Source organism: Homo sapiens, chromosome 21 (genome assembly GCF_000001405.40).
Source record: "Homo sapiens chromosome 21, GRCh38.p14 Primary Assembly".
Classification (NCBI taxonomy): domain Eukaryota; kingdom Metazoa; phylum Chordata; class Mammalia; order Primates; family Hominidae; genus Homo; species Homo sapiens.
Window position 1 is genome coordinate 41,955,824 of NC_000021.9, and position 18,878 is coordinate 41,974,701.

The following is an 18,878-nucleotide window of genomic DNA, read 5'->3' on the forward strand; positions in this document are numbered from 1 at the left end:
GGAAATAAGAATGAGACTATCCATCCTGGCTAACATGGTGAAACCCCGTCTCTATTAAAAACACACACACACACAAAACTCAGCCGGGCGTGATGGCGGTCGCCTATAGTCCCAGCTACTCGGGAGGCTGAGGCAGGAAAATGGAGTGAACCCGGGAGGCGGAGCTTGCAGTGAGCCGAGATCGCGCCACTGCACTCCAGCCTGGGCGACAGAGCGAGACTCCGTCTCAAAAAAAAAAAAAAAAATTAAGAATGAGACCATCAGCATCCTGCAAGTGACCCATGTGTTACACACGAGCGCTCCAGTCTGCCGCAGCCTCTTAAGGGTGGGGGGAACTGCTCTTCTTTTCTTCTATTCTGTGTTATTTTAGGCAGAAACAAAAGAAATCCCTTCTTATTTGGCAGAAAAGTCTAATTATGTTCTGACCTGTAGCTAGACCTATGCAGTCAGATAATTCGAGTCCTGCTGGTCCCCTTGCCAGAATAACCGGGGTGAGGAATCCGAGGGCCCAGTGTTCCCCGTGCCATGTGTGCACACAGGCCGCCTGCGGCTGTGTGGGCAGTGACGAGAGCCTGTCCTGTGTGACCGGTGGAACCCGTCTCATTCCTTCAGGTCTCAGGTGTGCTGGCCCATCCCACTTACTTATTTAGAGGCTTGTAACAAACTGTAAACTAACCAGCACCCCTAGTTTGGGATTTGTCACACTTCCATGTGACAAATTTTCTTTTCTTTCTTTCTTTAATTTCTTTCTGTATTTTGAGGCAGAGTCTCACTTTGTCACCTAGACTGGAGTGCAGTGGCACAATCTCGGCTCACTGCAACCTCCGCCTTCCAGGTTCAAGCAATTCTCCTGCCTCAGCCTCCCGAGTAACTGGGACTACAGGCGCCTGCCACCACGCCAGCTAATTTTTGTATTTTTAGTGGAGACGGGGTTTCACCATGTTGGCTAGGCTGGTCTTGAACTCCTGACCTCAGGTGATCTGCCCACCTCAGCCTCCCAAAGTGCTGGGATTACAGGTGTGAGCCACTGTGCCTAGCCCCGTTAAGTGTTTTCAAAGATAATGTCAACATGTAGATATTGGATTACTTACGTGTAGAAGCAAATCGAGGGAAAATAAGGAATGATGCAGGCTTGCAGGACAATGCAGTTGGCCAAAACACGAAATCGGAACAGAAACATCTTATAAATCTATGAAAAAGAGCAGGCTCCCTTTACACAAGCTCCCAGCCCTACACATCCACCAACTCCCAGTCCCCTTCTCCCACTGCAGAAGACACTGGAGGGCTGGGTTCTCCCAGAGCACAGGATTCTGCCTCACCCCCAGTGACATTTCCTGCTCCCGGCACCTCTCTCTCCACCACATCTCCCTTCCACCCAAGGAGTGAGACTGCAGCTCTGCCCGGGGAGGGCTTCTGTCTCCACCAAAACCTTCAAATGGGTCTCTGTCACTCTGCAGTGGTTGTTTGCTATTTTTAGCTGCTCATAAAGGGAAAGCACTGTGGCTGTGGCCCCTCCTGCATGCTCACCTTGAGCTCCCAGCTCCCAGCTGTTTAGGTCAAGCTAAGCCCGCTTCCCATCCATCTGCTGGGTCCACCAGAAACCTTGAACCAGGGCTGCCTTCGCTAGCATGGCAGGCCTCCAGGCGGGAAGGAGGAAGCCAAGTGTCTAAATTCTTCATAATGCTTTACAGTAGCTGGGTTTGAGGCCACAGTCAAGAGCCACTGTTCTATTTTTCACTTTAAAACATTTCTAAATGCTGGTGGTGGAGATGAGAATTGTCTGTTGGATGATCTCTGCTGAGTCACCCAGTCTTGGGTGCAGTGCCTCATCCCTGCCTCAAAGCTGTAAGTCTTTGAACGTCTTCCTCTCCCAAGCCCAGGAGGTTCTGGGATGCTGTGACATTTTTAGAAATTAATAGATATGTCTAGTGTCATGTATGTCATGTATCGCACGTCTATAAACAGTTATACTTTGTTATACTTTTGGGTTTTAAAAAATTCTTTTAGAAAAATGTGGGACTTTTGTTAAGTTTTCAATGTCATTCTTAAATTTCTAGAAGCAGGGAAAAGAAGAGCGTCCAAAATGTTTATAGTTTGTCTCTGAGTGAAAAGTTTCCCCTTCACCCTGAAGCAGTTCACATTATTAGTATTGCTTGAATTATCAAGTTGTGCCCCAATATTGTGAGACCAGCACCTTGGGGGCCCCGGGGAGCTGTGATGGTCACTTCACAGGCCCTACCAGGGACCTCTAGCAAGTGGAAATACACAGCTTCCCCCCAGCAGCACTTGGGGGCAGACGTTTCGAGAATTCCCTCTTAGCAAAATGCTTTTAGCACTTGGCTCAGTGCCCTCGGCAGCTGCTGTGGGAAGCGAGATTTCTGGAGACCAGAGAGGCTGTGGAGACATTTGACCCAATCTCCTTGGCTCCATCTCACTGGCTTAGTCATTTCCACCACCTGGAGGCTGGAATGTGCTTCGAGTCTATTTCCTGTACTGCTCACAGGGTCAATACCGGAGCCGGCGGACCCAACCAAAGGTCACCCGTGGCCAGAGCCTGGCCCGGCGCCAGACAGGGCTTTCCCCCCGAAGAGGGGCCGTGAGTTCTTCTAGTAATCATTTGCATGACTTATGGAGATGCTGTTCATGATGCCTTCCCCAGGAGGAAAGCAGCAATGCTGAGTAACTGCACTAACTCCCCAGGTGAGCCTCAGATGCCGCGTGAACAGTCTCTGAGAGTGAAGACCAGACTGCACGTCTGCCGTCCCTCCCAGGACCGACTGATGGAAATGGTAGTGCCATCGGCTGAGCCCCTGCCACCCTCTTGCTCCCTCCCGGGTCCCCACAGATGCACCAGGCACCCTAAGTCACCTTACGGGCGTTCAGAAAGTCATGGCTGTGTGTACCGAGCATTTCCCACCATCAGATACCACCTGGGTACTCAACTTCATGGACTCGCTTCATTTTCACAGCAACACGCAAACGAGAGCATCGCCCCATTTTAAAAATAAGGAAACTGAGTTCAGAGAAGCTCAGTAACTATCCAAGGCCACCCAGCAAGAAAGTGGCTGAGGCAGGGTTTGACCCCAGGGGCCGTGTTCTCTCCATCTCCTTTCATAAAGGTCAAGGCAAACAAATTCTCCAAAAAGAGAAAAATGTTAAAAGCTGGAAATAGAGGCCCCATTGCTAACATTCATGTGCAAAGATCTGCCTGAAGAATTGTCTTTTGTGTTCTGAAGTCCAGGAGACATGGCCTCTCAAACCCAGAGGGGAAGTTCACTCCCGGAGCTTCTGTGAAGTCCCAAGTCCTTTCTGGGAAAGACGAGAGATGAATCCAGCCCTAGCATTTGCCGTGATCAGTGTCTCTGCACAGGCGCCCACCTAGGAGAGCCTCCCAGGGTGTCCACCACCCACCCTAACAGTGAACAGCAGATACGCTGCTCCTTCAAATCCCACCCTGGTGGCGGCTCCTCAGGGACCCTGAGTCACGCCATGATGCTGGGAGGCGGCCGGGCAGCGTCAGAGGCAGGGCCTGCCAGCCTGCTGCAGGCCAGCCAGGCCTGCCAAGAGTCTGCCCCGGGCAACCCCGATGATGCATCCTGCGAGTCTGTGCCCATGCCGGGCAGACGAAGGAATGTGGCCCAGATGGCTGCCCTGCCTCTGCCAGGTGGCTTGGTTAAGCCTCCCTTGGGAATGCCCAGGAGCAAGGTGACTTGACATTTTTGCCTGTACCCAAGGCTGGGACCAATTTTATGAATGAAAATATTTAACTTCGATTCTTTTTTTGTAGAGGCGGGGTCTCACTGTGTTGCCCAGGCTGGTCTTGAACTCCTGGGCTCAAGTGATCCTCCATCCCCCATTTTTTTTTTTTTCTTGAGACGGAGTCTCACTCTGTCGCCAGGCCAGAATGCAGTGGTGCAATCTCGGCTCACTGCAATCTCCACCTCCCAAGTTCAAGCGATTCCCCTGCCTCAGCCTCCTGAGTAGCTGCAACTACAGGCACCCCCCACCACGCCCAGCTAATTTTTTGTATTTTAGTAGAGATGGGGTTTCACCATGTTGGCCAGGATGGTCTCGATCTCCTGACCTTGTGGTCTGCTCACCTCGGCCTCCCAAGGTGCTGGCATTACAGGTGTGAGCCACCGTGCCCGGCCTCCGCCCCCAATTTTTAAATATATTTCCAAGGAGGCCGTTGCATAAATTGTCTATTTTCTCCAACTCCAAAGAATGCTGGTCCCACACCTATGCACTGATAACCAAAATCACACTGTTGCAGGAATTGACCTAGAGGAATTGACCTCATGATGTGTTCCTGGGCCGGGCCCCTGTAATCCCAGCACTTTGGAAGGAGGCCGAGGCAGGAGGATAGCTTGAGCTCAGGCATTCAAGACCAGCCTGGGTAACAAAGTGAGACTCCTTCTCTATTAAAAAAATAAAAATAAAAATTAGCCAGGCGTGGTGGCTTATGCCTGCGGTCCCAGCTACATAGGAGGCTGAGGCAGGAGGATCATTTGAGCCCAAGAGGTTGAGGCTGCAGTAAACCATGTTTGCACCACTGCACTCCAGCCTGGGCAACAGAGCAAAGACCTTGTCTTGAAAAAAATAAAAAAAGATGTGTTCATCATGTAGAAGTTGAGTTTGTAAGGATGTGTCAGGTGGCAGCAGGAGTCTGGAGAGAGGGTGCACGGAGGAAGAGAGAGATGACTTCGCTGGAATGAGATGACCCCTCCCCATGCTGAGACTCTCAATGAATGCCATGCACAGCCTCCAGCTAGGGGTGGCCACAGCGGGGCCTTGCTCGCCTTGCTCGCTGGGGACAGCCCCTAGGCTGCAGGACTAGAGTTGCTCCTAGCTTCTCAGAACCTGCGGGATCTGCTTCTGCAGCTCCAGTGATATGGCCGTTCCCAGCACTGACTCTGGAATAACACTTGATCTATAGGCGGCTCCACTAGAAAAGAGCCAAGCCCCGCAAGTCAGAGGGGTCTCCCCTTACCCAACACAGGACACAGGAAAGCTGCCCTTATTCCCTGCAGGACAAGGCACATTTCTTGTAATTAGTGCTTTGCCTGTCTTCTGGGCTACAGTTTTCCTTTCTACTATTGTTTTTATTGAGCACAGTGAGTAGAACCAACTAAATATCTGGAGGGATATTTAGTCTCTTTAAGAGTTAAAGGAAATCCCATTAAAGGGCTTTTAAAAACAATCCAGGAGCATGCATTTATCTACACATAACTAAGTACTAATTACAAATAATTATTATATATTCCAGTGGTTACCCCAAATAGTGCAATAAAGACGAAGGGAATAATTTTCCTGCTCCAGGAAATACTCATGCTTCTGTTTGCCTAGTACTTTGTAAGAAATCCTATAACAAGTAAGAGGCAGGAATTATCACCCCCATCGTGGGAATGAGGGGTGGAAGCTTAGAGACGCTGAGCAACTTGCCAGGGGCAACAACAACGTGGTTGGGGTTAGGGTTAAGAGGCGGAGCTAGACCTGGACTCCAGGTGTTTGCTGCGTGATCTCCCATGTTGCACCAAGCAGCGAGTCTATACGACACCCCCATGGAATTAGAGAAGAGCAGCTCATTGACACAGATTTATTGCAATGCGTCATTTCCCCCGATTTCGATGGATCATCATCTCCTCTAGCTACTCAGAGCAGGGAGCTGGGACTGAACTATAGTACGTGAAGTCATTGTGTATATTCTCTTAGTGTGTCATTTCCCCGCGGAGTCACCTTCCAGAAGCTCTGCCAGCTCCAGCTCATGGGGCCCGAGGGAGGGATGGACCCTGCAGAGTGGGCGGTCACCACTATCGGGGCATCCATGCTGCCTGCCAGTCCAGCCCCTTCCCCAGCTTGTTCTCCTGTCCAGTCGGCTAAAGGGGCAACGAAGAGGAAGCCAGAGACTCTCAGGAAGGAAGCAGCCCCAGCTCCTCCTCCGGGCTCTCCTTTTGTTAGTATTATGGCAAAAACCACAATTACATTTGCACCGACCTAGTAGAAGCCCCAGGTGACAGGGAGAGGGGCACTGGTGGGTCCCAGTGGGAGAGAAAACAGCCTCACAAGCCCTTCTCTTTCAGTCTGTGAAGCGCATCACGGCCTCCCTCGCAGGTGGGTGAGGCGTGGCTGTCCTCATGATCCTCACAACTGTTGTTTGAACCAGGTACCTCTGTGTCCAGCAAAGGGGTGGGGACTGTCCCCATCTCAGGGCGCTGCATAGACTCACAAAAGCAGCCTTCAAAAGGCATGGCTGGGCTTGATTTTAAAAGGAGTCTCAAGTCTCTCCCCGAAAAAAAAAAAAAAAACAGGAAAAGGGTGGCCAGGTTAAGCCCGCTGGGTCCCTGGTGTTCTGAAGCAGGGCAGGCTTGGTGGCCTTCTGTCACTGAGAAGCAGGGGGTCTGTAGAAAGGAAAATCACAGAAAAAGAAAACTGTAGGCCAGAACACAGGCTGTTGCTGAGCCGCTGGACGCTAGCCCCACACATTGAACAGTGCCCTTCAAAAGGGAACTGGAGAAAGAATGTTCCAGGATTAAAAGGTGAAGTCAGGGAAGCTGCACAACCTCATAAATCCATGCAAACATTCCTAAAAAAAGAAGGTGTCTTAGTTCAGGCCACTAGAACAAAATAACATCCCGGGTGGCTTGTAAACAACATTTATTTTTCACCAGGCTGGAAGTCTGAGATCAGGGTGCCAGAAGGGTCAGGTTCTGGTGACGGGTTGCTGACTGCCGCCTTCTGGTTGTTTCTTCACATGGTGCGAAGAGAGGGAGGGAGCTCTCTGGGGTCTCTTTTGCAAGGGCACTAATCCTATTCACGGGGGCTCAACCCTATGACCTCAGTGTCACTTCCCAGAGGCTCCATCTCCTAATACCATCACACTGGAGGTAAGGACTTCAACATGTGGATTTTGGGGGAACATGAAGGGTCAACATGTGAATTTTGGGGGAACAGGAAGGGTCCTTCCTCTGCAGGGGATGTCAGGGTGGGAACGCTCAGGGAACCTGGCAGAGGACCCTCTGTGGGGCAAGATCCTTAGTCGGTGCCCAGAGACTCCTTGGCTAGGCTGCTCCAAGGAACGCAGGTTCCAGGGCAAGTCCGCAGAAATAGCGAGGAACCGGGTTAAAGCACCCAGAATCTCAGCCAGTGCAATGGACGCTGGGCTGTCCAATAAATGATTGACCAAAGATCCTTTAAAGGGAATTGAAAAGATGAAAAAGAAATTAGATACTGCCACATTTTTATTTTAGCCCTCATCAAAATGCCAAGGCGGGCAGATCACGAGGTCATGAGTTCGAGACCAGCCTGGCCAACATGGTGAAACCCCGTCTCTACTAAAAATACAAAAATTAGCTAGGCGTGGTGGCACATGCCTGTAATCTCAGCTACTCGGGAGGCTGAGGCAGGAGAATCGCTTGAACCTGGGAGGCAGAGGTTGCAGTAAGCCGAGTTTACCCCACTGCACTCCAGCCTGGGCAACAGAGCGAGACTCCGTCTCAAAACCAAAAAAAAAAAAAAATGCTATGAGGTGGATGAAACAGATGTTATTATCACTGTTTTGCAGGTGAGGAATCCGAAGTCCTCATCAAGGACCCTCCACTTATTACAAATTCAGCTGGGACTGAAGCGGTGTGTCCGCAGCTTGGACACCAAACAGGCGACCCCTTTACTAGCTGAGAATACGCCTCTGTGAAGACAAGTGACTGCAAAGCAGCGAAGCCTCAGTCCTGAGAGCATTTTTCTAAGACATCAGTTCCATCAGATATGTCTTTGGGAATCATTTCATACTCAGCCAAGTGTTAGAAAGGGCTGGTTGGCATTATTTGCTCCAATAATAAATCCATGTGCGCTAATGTTCGTCAATGCTGCTCTGCAGGGAGAAGTCAAAGCACGCAAGCCAGGCCTCCATGGGGAGGCCCGAGATGACTGGAGGGTTTGTGCCTAAGCATTTGTTCAGATGCAATAATCCACTACTCTTGGGGAGAAAATGATCCTTTTTTAAAAATTATTTTGTCTTTTTAAAAAACTGATCTAACAAATTTTGCAGAATTGAAGGAGCAACTGAAGCAAAGTTTTCTTGTTGATAGAGGTGTGTCCGGTGTGCAGATGTGTCCTTTGGAGACTGGGTCGACATGTCGCCATGGCACTGTGCCTGCTCCAGTCCCTGGCCAGCCCTCCATCTGTCAGCGACAGCACACGAGGTCCTCCTGGACAGAGAGTATCCAGTACTATGGACACTGTGGACACAGAAAATGCTTCCTTCCTCTCTAAATCTCCCCAGGAGGGCTCCCTGGTGAGGCCCAAGGGAGGTGATCCAGACAGCCATCTCCTCACCAGAGCTTCTCCTCCCCCCTCAAACGATGGAGAGAAAACATGGAGATGCTTCTTGCCGGCAGGTTTATAAGATTCAAAGCTTCTGGTGAGAAGCAGAGACAAGGTAGTATCCTTCTGTGTTGGGGAGAGCTGGCCACTGCTGATGCCATAGCTGAGAGTCCCCTGCAGAAGCTGTCCCAGGAGGCCACAGGAGGGGTTGTCCTGGTGCATGCCGACGGTAGCAGAGCTGCTACTCCTGCCGGTCCGTCCCTGGTGTTTAATGAGCCCGTCCTGAGATGAAGGAGGGAAAGTGGGGGCAGGCAAAAGAGAGAATGTCCATTGTGCCAGGAGGCATCCCCGCCTTCCTCCTGTAGCTCTGGGACCAGCTGCAAGAAGGCAAAGTATCATACCAGCCTTTTGAGAGGGGAGGCTCAGAAGCCCATCAGCAGACGAATGAGCAGACAGAATGCGGTCTATCCGTGTGATGGAACATTATTCAGCCGTAAAAAGGAATGAAGCACTGACCCAGGCTACAACACGGTGAACCCTGAAAACGTGATGCTGCGTGAAAGAAGCCACTCACAAATGCCACACGTTGCGTGATTCAAACGCCACACATTGCATGATTCAAACGCCACACATTGCATGATTCAAACGCCACACATTGCATGATTCCATTTACATGAAATGCCCAGAATAGGTGAGTGACGGGGCAGAAAGCAGGTGAGTGGTTACCTGGGGCTAGGGGTGGGCCGACAGGGAGTGACTGCTGATGTGCACAGGGTTTCTGTGGGGGGAGATGAAAACATTCTGGAGGACTAGATGGGGTGACGGATGCACAGCCTTTGAGTGTGCTGAATACCATCAAATGATACACTTTAAAATGGTGGTAATGGTACATGTAATGTTATGTGTATCTTACCACCGTTTAAAACAGAGCTTGACCGGTTAGTTTAACAAATATTATGAGTGGCTTTTGTTATGGGCCGGGTGTGGTGGTTTGTTCACTGATTTGGCAAATATTTGTTGAGCAGCTGCCGTGTGTCAGGTGCTGGGCTAGGTGCTGGGGGTTAGTGATGAGCTAAATCAATTCTCATGGGACCTGAACTCAGCAGAGGAGACAGAGGGACTATTCCACAAGTAACTGTGTAAACTGCATGGGTGGCAGGGCAGCCGTGCAGCTAGGAGTAGTGACCAAGAAGAGTCCAAGGAAAGCCCTGCAATGCCACTGGATAGTGGGCAGGGGGCTCAGGCAGGACTGCAATGAGCCTGTGGGTTTTGTTCCTACAGCAAAAGAAAGGAGTGGCTGACTTGGCAGAGAAGAGATGAAATCATATTTGCATTTGACCAAGATGGAGACAGTAGGGGGAGGAGGTGGGTGACCTGGAGGCTCACCTGGGATGGTGAGCCAGGCCCCTCAGGGGGTGGTGGGTGGGAGTGGGCTGTAGAGGTTGCCATGCAGGGGTCTCCCTTAGGCAGCATAGTGGGTGTGTGGGGCAAGGCTTGTGAGAAGGGGCCACCCCAGCAAGGATAAAGCGATGCCTGCCCACGGGAGTATCACGTTGGTCTGAGATGCAAGAAGAAAGAAACGGAGAGGACCATGGAGGGGGCTAAGAAATTCTAAAGGCAAGAAACAGTCAGGGAAAAGAAAGGATTCCACGGTGGGGGTGGCAGAGACCGAGTGCTGAGCCAGCGCCAGGCGCCCACCCTGTGGGCACATGTTATAAAGCAGCACCATGAAATGGAACGGCGAGGCTCCCCAACAAAACAGACTCTAGAAACTGATGGCTGGGTGTGAACATAACAAAACACTGGGAAGGGACATAATTAGTAAATCTTGGGATGAATTATCAAATGGGAAGAGACCAGTGAAGTCAACCAGGGGGGCCCACCATGCGATTGTCCGGGTGAGGAGGGGAGGTTGGGCGCCTTCCCTGGCATGCAGGTTGCCCCCATCCTGCCTCCAGGGCTCAGGGCTCTGAGAGGACATGGTTGCAGCATGAAGGGCATGGGCTTTGCCTCCTCCACTGTAGGGTGGGAGCCAGTCCTGCTGCAAAGAGCCGCTATGGGGTTGGAGGTCACACATGTGCACAGACATGGCGCCTGGCCCACGGCAGGTGCTCCATACAGCACAGGAATAATGGCTTCGTTACACAGAGCCAAGAATAGGGAAGAATTTGTTTTGCTCTAAGTGCAACCTTCACGCCAAGCATATTTAACTTCGATGAATAAGCAGCAAAAACAAACTTTGGGTTTTGTTCCTACAGCAAAAGAAAGGAGTGGCTGACTTGGCAGAGAAGAGATGAGATCATATTTGCACTTGACCAAGATGGCCCCAGGAGATAATGGGAGGAAGGGGGTGACCCTGGAGGCTGATCTGGGATGGTGAGCTGGCCCCCTCCACTGTCGAATGTTTAAAAAACATTAAAAATGAGTCAAAAGGAGAACAGAGGAATCCGCCCCTAGCTGGTGATGCTTCTTTTTGTTACATACAAGTGAAGAGAGTATAGAGAGTCATTCATTCATTCATGCAGCTCATCTGGACTGAGCATCTACTGTGTTAGAGAGACCACGTATAAATACCCTTTTAAATGTTTATTCAGTAACGAAGATATTCCTGCTTCTGACTTCTCCATCCAGGTCTTGGAATCACCACCTCTCACACACACACCCAGGAATCATCTCTGTACCAGCCTCCTTTTCTCTAACCTCGATCCCATCCCATCTGACCAATCAGAAACCAAATCCCACCAGCCTTCTCTCTGTGATCGAACTGCATCTTCTTTCTTCTTCCCCACTGGGTCCATCTGCTGGCTCTCTAGCTGGAAGCTTCTCCACACCACCCCGCACCCACCTGCCAGCCCAGCTGCCGGGACTTTGGAACAGACCTGGCTGTGGATCCCCCTGGGGGGCTTCCAAGCTGTGTGACCTTGGACATGTTATCTCGCCCTCCTAGTGTTCATCTTCCCCATCAATAAGACAGGCATGAAGCTGCCTAGCTCACCAGGCTGTGGAAAGGATGGAAGACCACAGCAGGAGGCGTGAAGCTCCTGCATGGTGCCCAACACAGGCGAGAGGGCAGGTAAGGTTTCCGGGGCCTACCTCATGCAAGTGTCACCCATGGCTACTTAGGAATAATTTCTGGCACTGGGCTCCCCTATGTTCCCTCCACATACACATTTAATCACCTTCCATTCCCCATCCCCCAGACCTGTCCCCTAGATCCTTGGCCAGTGCTCTTTGCCACAGTTTCCCTTCCCTTGGGCTTCATCCTGCTGAAGACACTGCTGACCCGGCTGCCTGCAGTGACCTGCAAGCCTGCACCTGCTGCTTCCTGAACTCTCCTTAGGTGCTGCCCAGAGACACCTCCTCTATCCTGTGGAATGTCATGGGGACCTGGATTGCTATTTCAGATTTCATGTGTGTGCCTATCGCCCCGGCTGGACTCAGTTCCTTCAGGATTAGGACCAGGCCTTATGGTCCTTTGAATTCCTCCTCAAAAATCTGCAGGTTTTCCAGAAACATCTCTTGATTTCAATTAGAGGTTTGTAGCTCTAGCACCAAAGTTAAGTTGGATCTAGGGCTGCTGTTTGCAAGACGTACTTACTAATCCAGGTGGGCACAGGCCATGCAGCAGCCAGGCCCTCCAGTGCTGGGCTGGGGCTGCCCTGCCCCCTCCCCTCTCAGGATCAGTCCTCCCGTGGAGACGGGGTGTCTTTCTGGGGTGCAGAAGCAACCACTCACTCCTTGGCTTTGAGGCTTCATGAGACCACAGGGAAGCGCTCAAGCCCCTCAGCCTGGAAAACAATGCCAGGCTTCCTTTCTCAGATAATCCCTCTGATCCCTGCCCCCCTGACCCTCCACAGGCACATCCAGCCTCCTGCAGGGCTCCTCAGACCCCAACCTGCCCAGCTGTTGGCATCACCCCTACCATTTTCTGCCTGCAGATCCCTCTCCCTCCTCACCTGAAAATCTCTCTCCTCCCTCCAAGAATCAGATCACGGTTACCCCTTAGCAGTGTGAGAAATAAACTCACCTGTCCAAGCCCAAAGAACAGACTCAGAGACCTGGAGAACAGTGAGAGTGAGACTTTTTTTTTTTTAATTGAGACGGAGTCTTGCTCTGTCGCCCAGGCTGGAGTGCAATGGCACGATCTCAGCTCACTGCAACCTCTGCCACCCCAGTTCAAGTGATTCTCGTGCCTCAGCCTCCCAAGAAGCTGGGATTACGGGCCTGCACCACCACACCCTGCTAATTTTTTTGTATTTTTAGTACAAACGGGTTTCAACTTGTTGGCCAGGCTGGTCTCAAACTCCTGACCTCAGGTGATCTGCCCGCCTCAGCCTCCCAAAGTTCTGGGATTACAGGCATGAGCCACTGAGCCTGTGCCATTGGGCCTGAGAGTCAGACTCTTAATGATGGTCTTGCAAAATCAAGTGTCTGATGGGCAGAAACACCCAGCACGGTTTTAACAAGTAATTTATCCCCTGGTGTGCAGGTCCCTCCCCTGCTTCCTCATTGCTGCTAGTCATTAGCACACCGGGGGTCACAATCTTCCCAGACGTCGCCTATTGGTTGTTGGGCAGGGACTTCAGGTGTTTTTTTTTTTTTTTTGTAGGATTGTACTGCTGCACTTTGTTGCAGCCCACAATGCATTGCAATCGTAGTTAGCTCAAGGGCTCTTCAAGTATTTAATTTATGACCGAAGTAGCCGGGCAGGCTGGTAAGAACAGACAAAGTGAGCTATTTTGAAGGGTAGTAAACTTTCGTCTTAGACTAAACTTTTTTGCTTCGGGTGACAGCAACTGAGGGCAGAGGCAGCAGACAAGCAGGCGTTGACGATCCAAGCAGGGGCCTAGTGTATCCTGTTTCTTCTGTAGTTTGCTGACCTAAGCTGATTCAAGGCGCTTTGTCTTGGAAATGGAGCACCGTAGACATGATCTCCTTCAGCAGGAAGTGTCACACATGGATTAACACCCCTGACTCCAGGTCTGACTGTTTGGCGTCAAATTCTGGCTGCTGTGATTTTAGGTAAATCATTTCGCCTTGCTGCCCCTCAGTTTCCTCATCTGTAACATGGGAGGAATGAGACTGCCCACTTCTTACAGTCTCTGTGAGAACCAGATAACTAATAAGCACATGTGCAAGCACAGGGCCTGGCACAAGGTCACTTCCATCTGCTCTCGGTGTACAGTAGACGGTCACCCCAAGATCAGGTCTGTCTCCTTCCCTCACTGTCTTGTTCCACTTCATATCCCAGCATGGGATGGGGAACTGGTCAGATGGGGTAGCCTCAACAGATGGTTGTTAGATAATTGAATAAATGGGTGAATGAATGAATGAATGAGTGAATGAATGCAAATGACAAAAACCAAGTAGCAGGTTTTCTTTTCTTTTTTTTTTTGAGATGGAGTCTCGCTGTGTCGCCCAGGCTGGAGTGCAGTGGCATGATCTCGGCTCACTGCAAGCTCTGCCTCCTGGGTTCACGCCATTCTCCTGGCTCAGCCTCCTGAGTAGCTGGGACCACAGGCATGTGCCACCACACCTGGCTAATTTTTTTTGTATTTTTAGTAGAGACGGGGTTTCACCATGTTAGCCAGGATGGTCTCGATCTCCTGACCTCGTGATCCTCCCGCATCGGCCTCCCAAAGTGTTGGGATTACAGACATGAGCCCCCGCGCCCGGCCGAGTTTTCAAGTGCAATTTTGTTTGGAGTCCCAGAATCTAAAGTCACCCTGTTGGTGAAAAATATGAACTTCCTCTTGCATCTTACTCAGGGCAGGGGGTTAGTGGGACAAAAGCTGCTTTCAGTCTCCTGGCCAGTGCCTCTGAGTAACAGCCCTTTTGTGAAGGGCAGAAAGGAGAGTGTGTAGTTGTCAGGAATATTCAAGCAGAACCAAAGCTGACATCACGCCTGTAAATATGCATGCATGCCCACAGCTACCCTGGTATTGGCTGGCTCAGCCTGTGCAGTGATACCACACACACACAAACACACACACACAGCTGGTTGTCCCTAACTGCTGCTAGTCACTAGCACACCGAGGGGGCCAGGGTCAACATCCTCATGACCGTTCCTAGTGGCTTCCACAGAGCGGGGACACAACAGCAAATCAGCGCTGGCGAGAGGTTTGCAGTGCAGAATTCATCCACCCCCTGGAGCTGGGATGTTAGAATGTGTTCCCCAATTCAATATGCTTCTATTTAAAATAAATACAATCTTGGCTTCAAAATCATGGGTCATGGCACTGCTGTGTCTGGAGGTAGGAAGCCTCTTCATCAGGGCAGTTTCAGGCCATTCATCTTGCTAGAGTGTGGATAACACACATCAAAAGCAAAGTTCCACATATTACATTTATTTTAAATCTATAAAGATGGAAAATGATTAGAATAAAGGTGCCAGCCTATAGTTAGCTGTTTCTAGATATTCTTTTGTCCTCGGCTTAGATGTACCACAGGAGGAATTGTTCTTTCTTCTTGCTCCCATTTCTTTTCTTGGAGTTAGTGGGGTAGGTCTCCCACTCGTGACACCTGCTTCATGCCTTTTTGCACCACACAGAGATGGTGGTAGTGGCCTTGGAGGCTGCAGTCTCTTAGCTCTCATGACTGCTACCACATTTGTGTTCAGTTGCTCAGGCCGTTCACTGCACAAGGACACCTGGCAGAAGGAGCAGTGGGGCCAGTGTACCTCCTGGTGGAAGGCTGCATCTGCCTGGAGGAAGGGGTGTCTTTTTAATGCAGGCAGAGGCCTGTCCAGCCAGCGGCAGCCCTGGCTCCCTCGTCCTCCCGGGAGTACCATGGCACTGCACTCAGGGGCTTCTGAGGCTGCTGTGCTGACTAGGAAGTCTGAGACCCCCAGTGATGCACAAGAAACTGGGGCTGGGTGGTCTGTCAGCCGACTTCGGGGGAGCTGTGTTCAGGAGAGAAGGGCTTGGGAAAGCTGTGCTCTATTCCATGCTGGATAAAAGGAGCAGAGATAACCCGGTCAGGGTCATGGGTAGAGGCCATGGAGACAAACAAGACAGAGGAGATGAGCTGCAGCCGCCTCTAGCTGGAAACGCAGTGCAGAGGCGCCCAGGCCAAAGCAGCTTCTGTTCACAAAAAGTCTCCCCGAGGCCCTGCAAGGAGGAGCAGGAGCCAGTGCTCCCCTCTCCCCGCTGGGAGGAAGTGCCTGCCTGCTACCCAGGCAGGGGAGGGGCTTGCTGGCATTTTCCCAGGAGCAAATGCAGCACAGAATGGGGGTTCCTTAGGCCCCAGTCAATGAATTCCACCAGGAATGCGGTGAGACCTCAGGGGCAGAGGCCCACAGAGGACATCAGGCATCCGAGAGACGGACACACGGGGGAAAAGGGCATTTCCAGGCCCTCTGAGCAGTCTCTGCGCTTGCATGACGTTAGATGATGAGGAATAAAAACCCAAACCTTATTTCAGCGCTGCATGGAAAGAATTTCCCTGAGCTGATATGAATGACATACCTTCTGCTTTTAATGAGGTCCAGTATAAAGACGATTTATGTGAAGAATATTTTGGTCTTAAAAGACTCTGTTATTTTGGCCAGGTGTGGTGGCTCATGCCTGTAATCCCAGCACTTTGGGAGGCCGAGGTGGGTGGATCACGGGGTCAGGAGATCAAGACCATCCTGGCTAACACGATGAAACCCCATCTCTACTAAAAATACAAAAAATTAGCCGGGGGTGGTGGCGGGCGCCTGTAGTTCCAGCTACTTGGGAGGCTGAGGCGGGAGAATGGCGTGAACCCGAGAGGCGGGGCTTGCAGTGAGCCAAGGTCGTGCCACGGCACTCCAGCCTGGGCAACAGAGTGAGACCACGTCTCAAAAAAAAAAAAGACTGTTGTTTTACCAAGGCCCCTTTAGTTTAAAGTGTATAATAAACTCTTCCTTTAATATTAGTTGGAGTTTGTCTCTCCAGTTTAACCTGAAAGGTTACTGTGATTGGGCAACCATGAGGCAGTTTCCCCAGATGCTTCTTGATCAACAGCTGTTCTGTTCCAAGGGCCTGCTCCTGACTGGTTTTGATCAGCTCTTGGATTTTTATTTTTATTCATTTTTTTTGAAACAGGGTCTTGATCTGTTGCCTAGGCCGGAGTGCAATGATGCCATCTTGGCTCACTGCAACCTCTGCCTCCAGAATTCAAGTGATTCTCCTGCCTCAGTCTCCTGAGTAGCTGGCATCACAGGCGTGTGCCACCATGTCCAGCTAATTTTTGTATTTTTAGTAGAGACGGAGTTTCACCATGACGGACAGGACGGTCTCGAACTCCTGGTCTCAAGTGATCCCCCGCCTCAGCCTCCCAAAGTGTTGGGATTACAGATGTGAGTCCCTGCGCCCAGCCAGTTCTTGGATTTTTAGTCGTTCTGGTTTATATTTGGTTGACTTTGATAAGGCTCCTTATAAAAGGGCACGACCGATAAACCAAAGTGTCTGGATTATTACAGAAAATAAAATTCAGGTAAGAGCCAGATGTTGGCTGATAAAGGGAGTGCCAGGAACCCTCTGGCTCTGTAGATTGTGCCAGAGCCTCAGGGATCACCGGCCGAGCCGGGGCTGCACCCTGCTGCTCAGTCTTCTCTTGTCGCCCTGGGAGAGGGAGATGGTGGGATTGGGCCGGGGGTTAGGAGACAGTGCCACAACAATGCTCTTCGAAATCAAACATGCGAGAAAGCAACGTTTAATTTTGTTTTTCATTTGGCGTATTCACATTTCCGTCTTTTGCTTTTGGTCCATGTTTGCTCTCCTTTCTGTGCTTGTCACGGGCATCTGGTCACTCCCGGCCTACTGCATTCCTACTCTTTCTCATCCCAGTTCAAGCGTGTTCCCCAGGCCAGCCTGCCCCTTGCATCTCTGCCAAGACGTTGTTTCTCACGCACCTGGGAAGGTGTTTCACATGCCCGAACACGCTGAGGGTCAGATGGACCCCAGGGTCTCAGCCGGCCGACCCTAACTTCCCAGGCTGCATGTAAAGCCGTTGTGCAGAGTCTTTTCTGGAAGTAGAGCCTCTTCTCCACTAAGTTATTTTTTCTTTTTAACTTAGGCCTTGCCCACGAGATACTTGATAGTCTTCCAGCTTTTATTTTATCTGTCCACTTTGATCAACTTTGATCAGCATCAGCATGATTTCAAAGTCTTTGTCAAGAAACAGACGCTGGCGTTGGATGAGGCATGGGAAAGATGAAGAGAGTTGGCTGAGAAGGACGTGGTCCCCAGCCCTGTTCTTGAGGCTGGGTCTTTAGGGGGCCAGGAGGTGCGGAGCTGAACGCTTCCCGCCTGAGGCTTCATCCGCCCGCAAGTGCATCAGGACTCTGCTTGCAAAGCGACGATCATTTCCTGGGTTATCAGTCTGGAAGCTGCATCCACAAAGAACAGGAGGCTGTTGGTTTTTGCTCATGCATTCATTCCTTCGTTCATTTGGCATTCCTTGGAGTGCAGCCAGCAGCCACGGGGCGCAGGTGCAGTCCGTTCTGGGCCACACCTGAGAAGAGCTGCAATCCTTGCCTCTTGTTGGAGGCTTTAGGCCCCACCTCGTGTCCTCCTGACCTACCTTTCTGCCTCAGCCCTGCTCTGGCAGCCGGCAGTGCACAGGTGGGGCCTGGCAGCCCTGTGCCTACGCAGCCCCACGTATGTCCTGCTTCTTGCCTCGGGTTTCCCTACTGCCCCTGCGTGGGACTGGCGTCACCATTCTGGGGGACAGGTAGATCTTGAAATGATGAAACATTAATTCCCTGGGGCCAACCTTGACCAGTGAGTGACAAGAGATGGAGGACAAAGGACAAACACTTGCCACTTGTATCTTCCTTCTCAGAGGCTTCTCTGTGGGTCTCCAGGGTCCCCAGCAGGAGGCAGCGAATCCCAGCTGCCCACAGCCTAGTAATCCAGTGTGGGTTCCCTTCTTCCCTGTTTTCCTCCTCCCAGCCCGGACCTGTTCCTGGAATCACTTCCCAGAACTCACCACTAGGCCACAAGCTCTTGTTATTTGAGGAAGGTAGCTAAGGCAGCCACAGGGAGCTCACAGTGTAGGGAGATGGAGCCAGGCACCCAGGAACCATCTCAACCCACGTGGTGAGGGCCACGAGGCATTTCCCAGAGCCTGTGGCACAGAAGAAAGCCAGCCCGGTCCCCTGGGGCAGGTCAGGGGAAGGCTGAACTGGGTCTTGAAGAGGAAGTGGGGGAGGGAGGGACACTCTAGAGCGCAGGAGCAGTGAGTTCAAAGGCCAGGAAATGTGAGGAGGCCGGGCTCCATGGAGACTGGGCCCTATTCTTCTGGTAGATCTGCCCGGATATCCAGCGTGTTTGATTGGACCTGGTTGAGATGAGTTTGGAACTGAAGGCATTTCCTGGCCAAAGTGCAAAGTGACCTTGGAGAGAATTCAGTTTTCCTCAGAGGGGATGAGGAACTCCCACCCTGGGATCAAGCGAGGAAGAACTGCCATCAAGTTTGTGTGTCCTCTACAGCCTCGCTATTCCAGTGTGTGGGCCAGGACAGCAGCTTCCACACCACCTGGGAGCGTGTTGGAAATGCAGAGTGTCAGGCCCCGCCCTGGACCTGTGGAA

At 51.3% G+C, this 18,878-nt stretch overlaps 3 annotated features.

Annotated features, from left to right (window-relative positions):
- Window positions 297-376: an enhancer, noted in NCBI's record as "active region_18497". NCBI's record gives its function as "activates an Ori minimal core promoter by ATAC-STARR-seq in GM12878 lymphoblastoid cells {active_cell/tissue: GM12878}" and the evidence as "EXISTENCE:reporter gene assay evidence [ECO:0000049][PMID:35858748]".
- Window positions 3,053-4,020: an enhancer, noted in NCBI's record as "H3K4me1 hESC enhancer chr21:43378985-43379952 (GRCh37/hg19 assembly coordinates)". NCBI's record gives its function as "activates a minimal SCP1, AML or CMV promoter by ChIP-STARR-seq in primed H9 embryonic stem cells {active_cell/tissue: H9 hESC(primed)}" and the evidence as "EXISTENCE:reporter gene assay evidence [ECO:0000049][PMID:30033119]".
- Window positions 12,635-13,136: an enhancer, noted in NCBI's record as "NANOG hESC enhancer chr21:43388567-43389068 (GRCh37/hg19 assembly coordinates)". NCBI's record gives its function as "activates a minimal SCP1, AML or CMV promoter by ChIP-STARR-seq in naive H9 embryonic stem cells {active_cell/tissue: H9 hESC(naive)}" and the evidence as "EXISTENCE:reporter gene assay evidence [ECO:0000049][PMID:30033119]".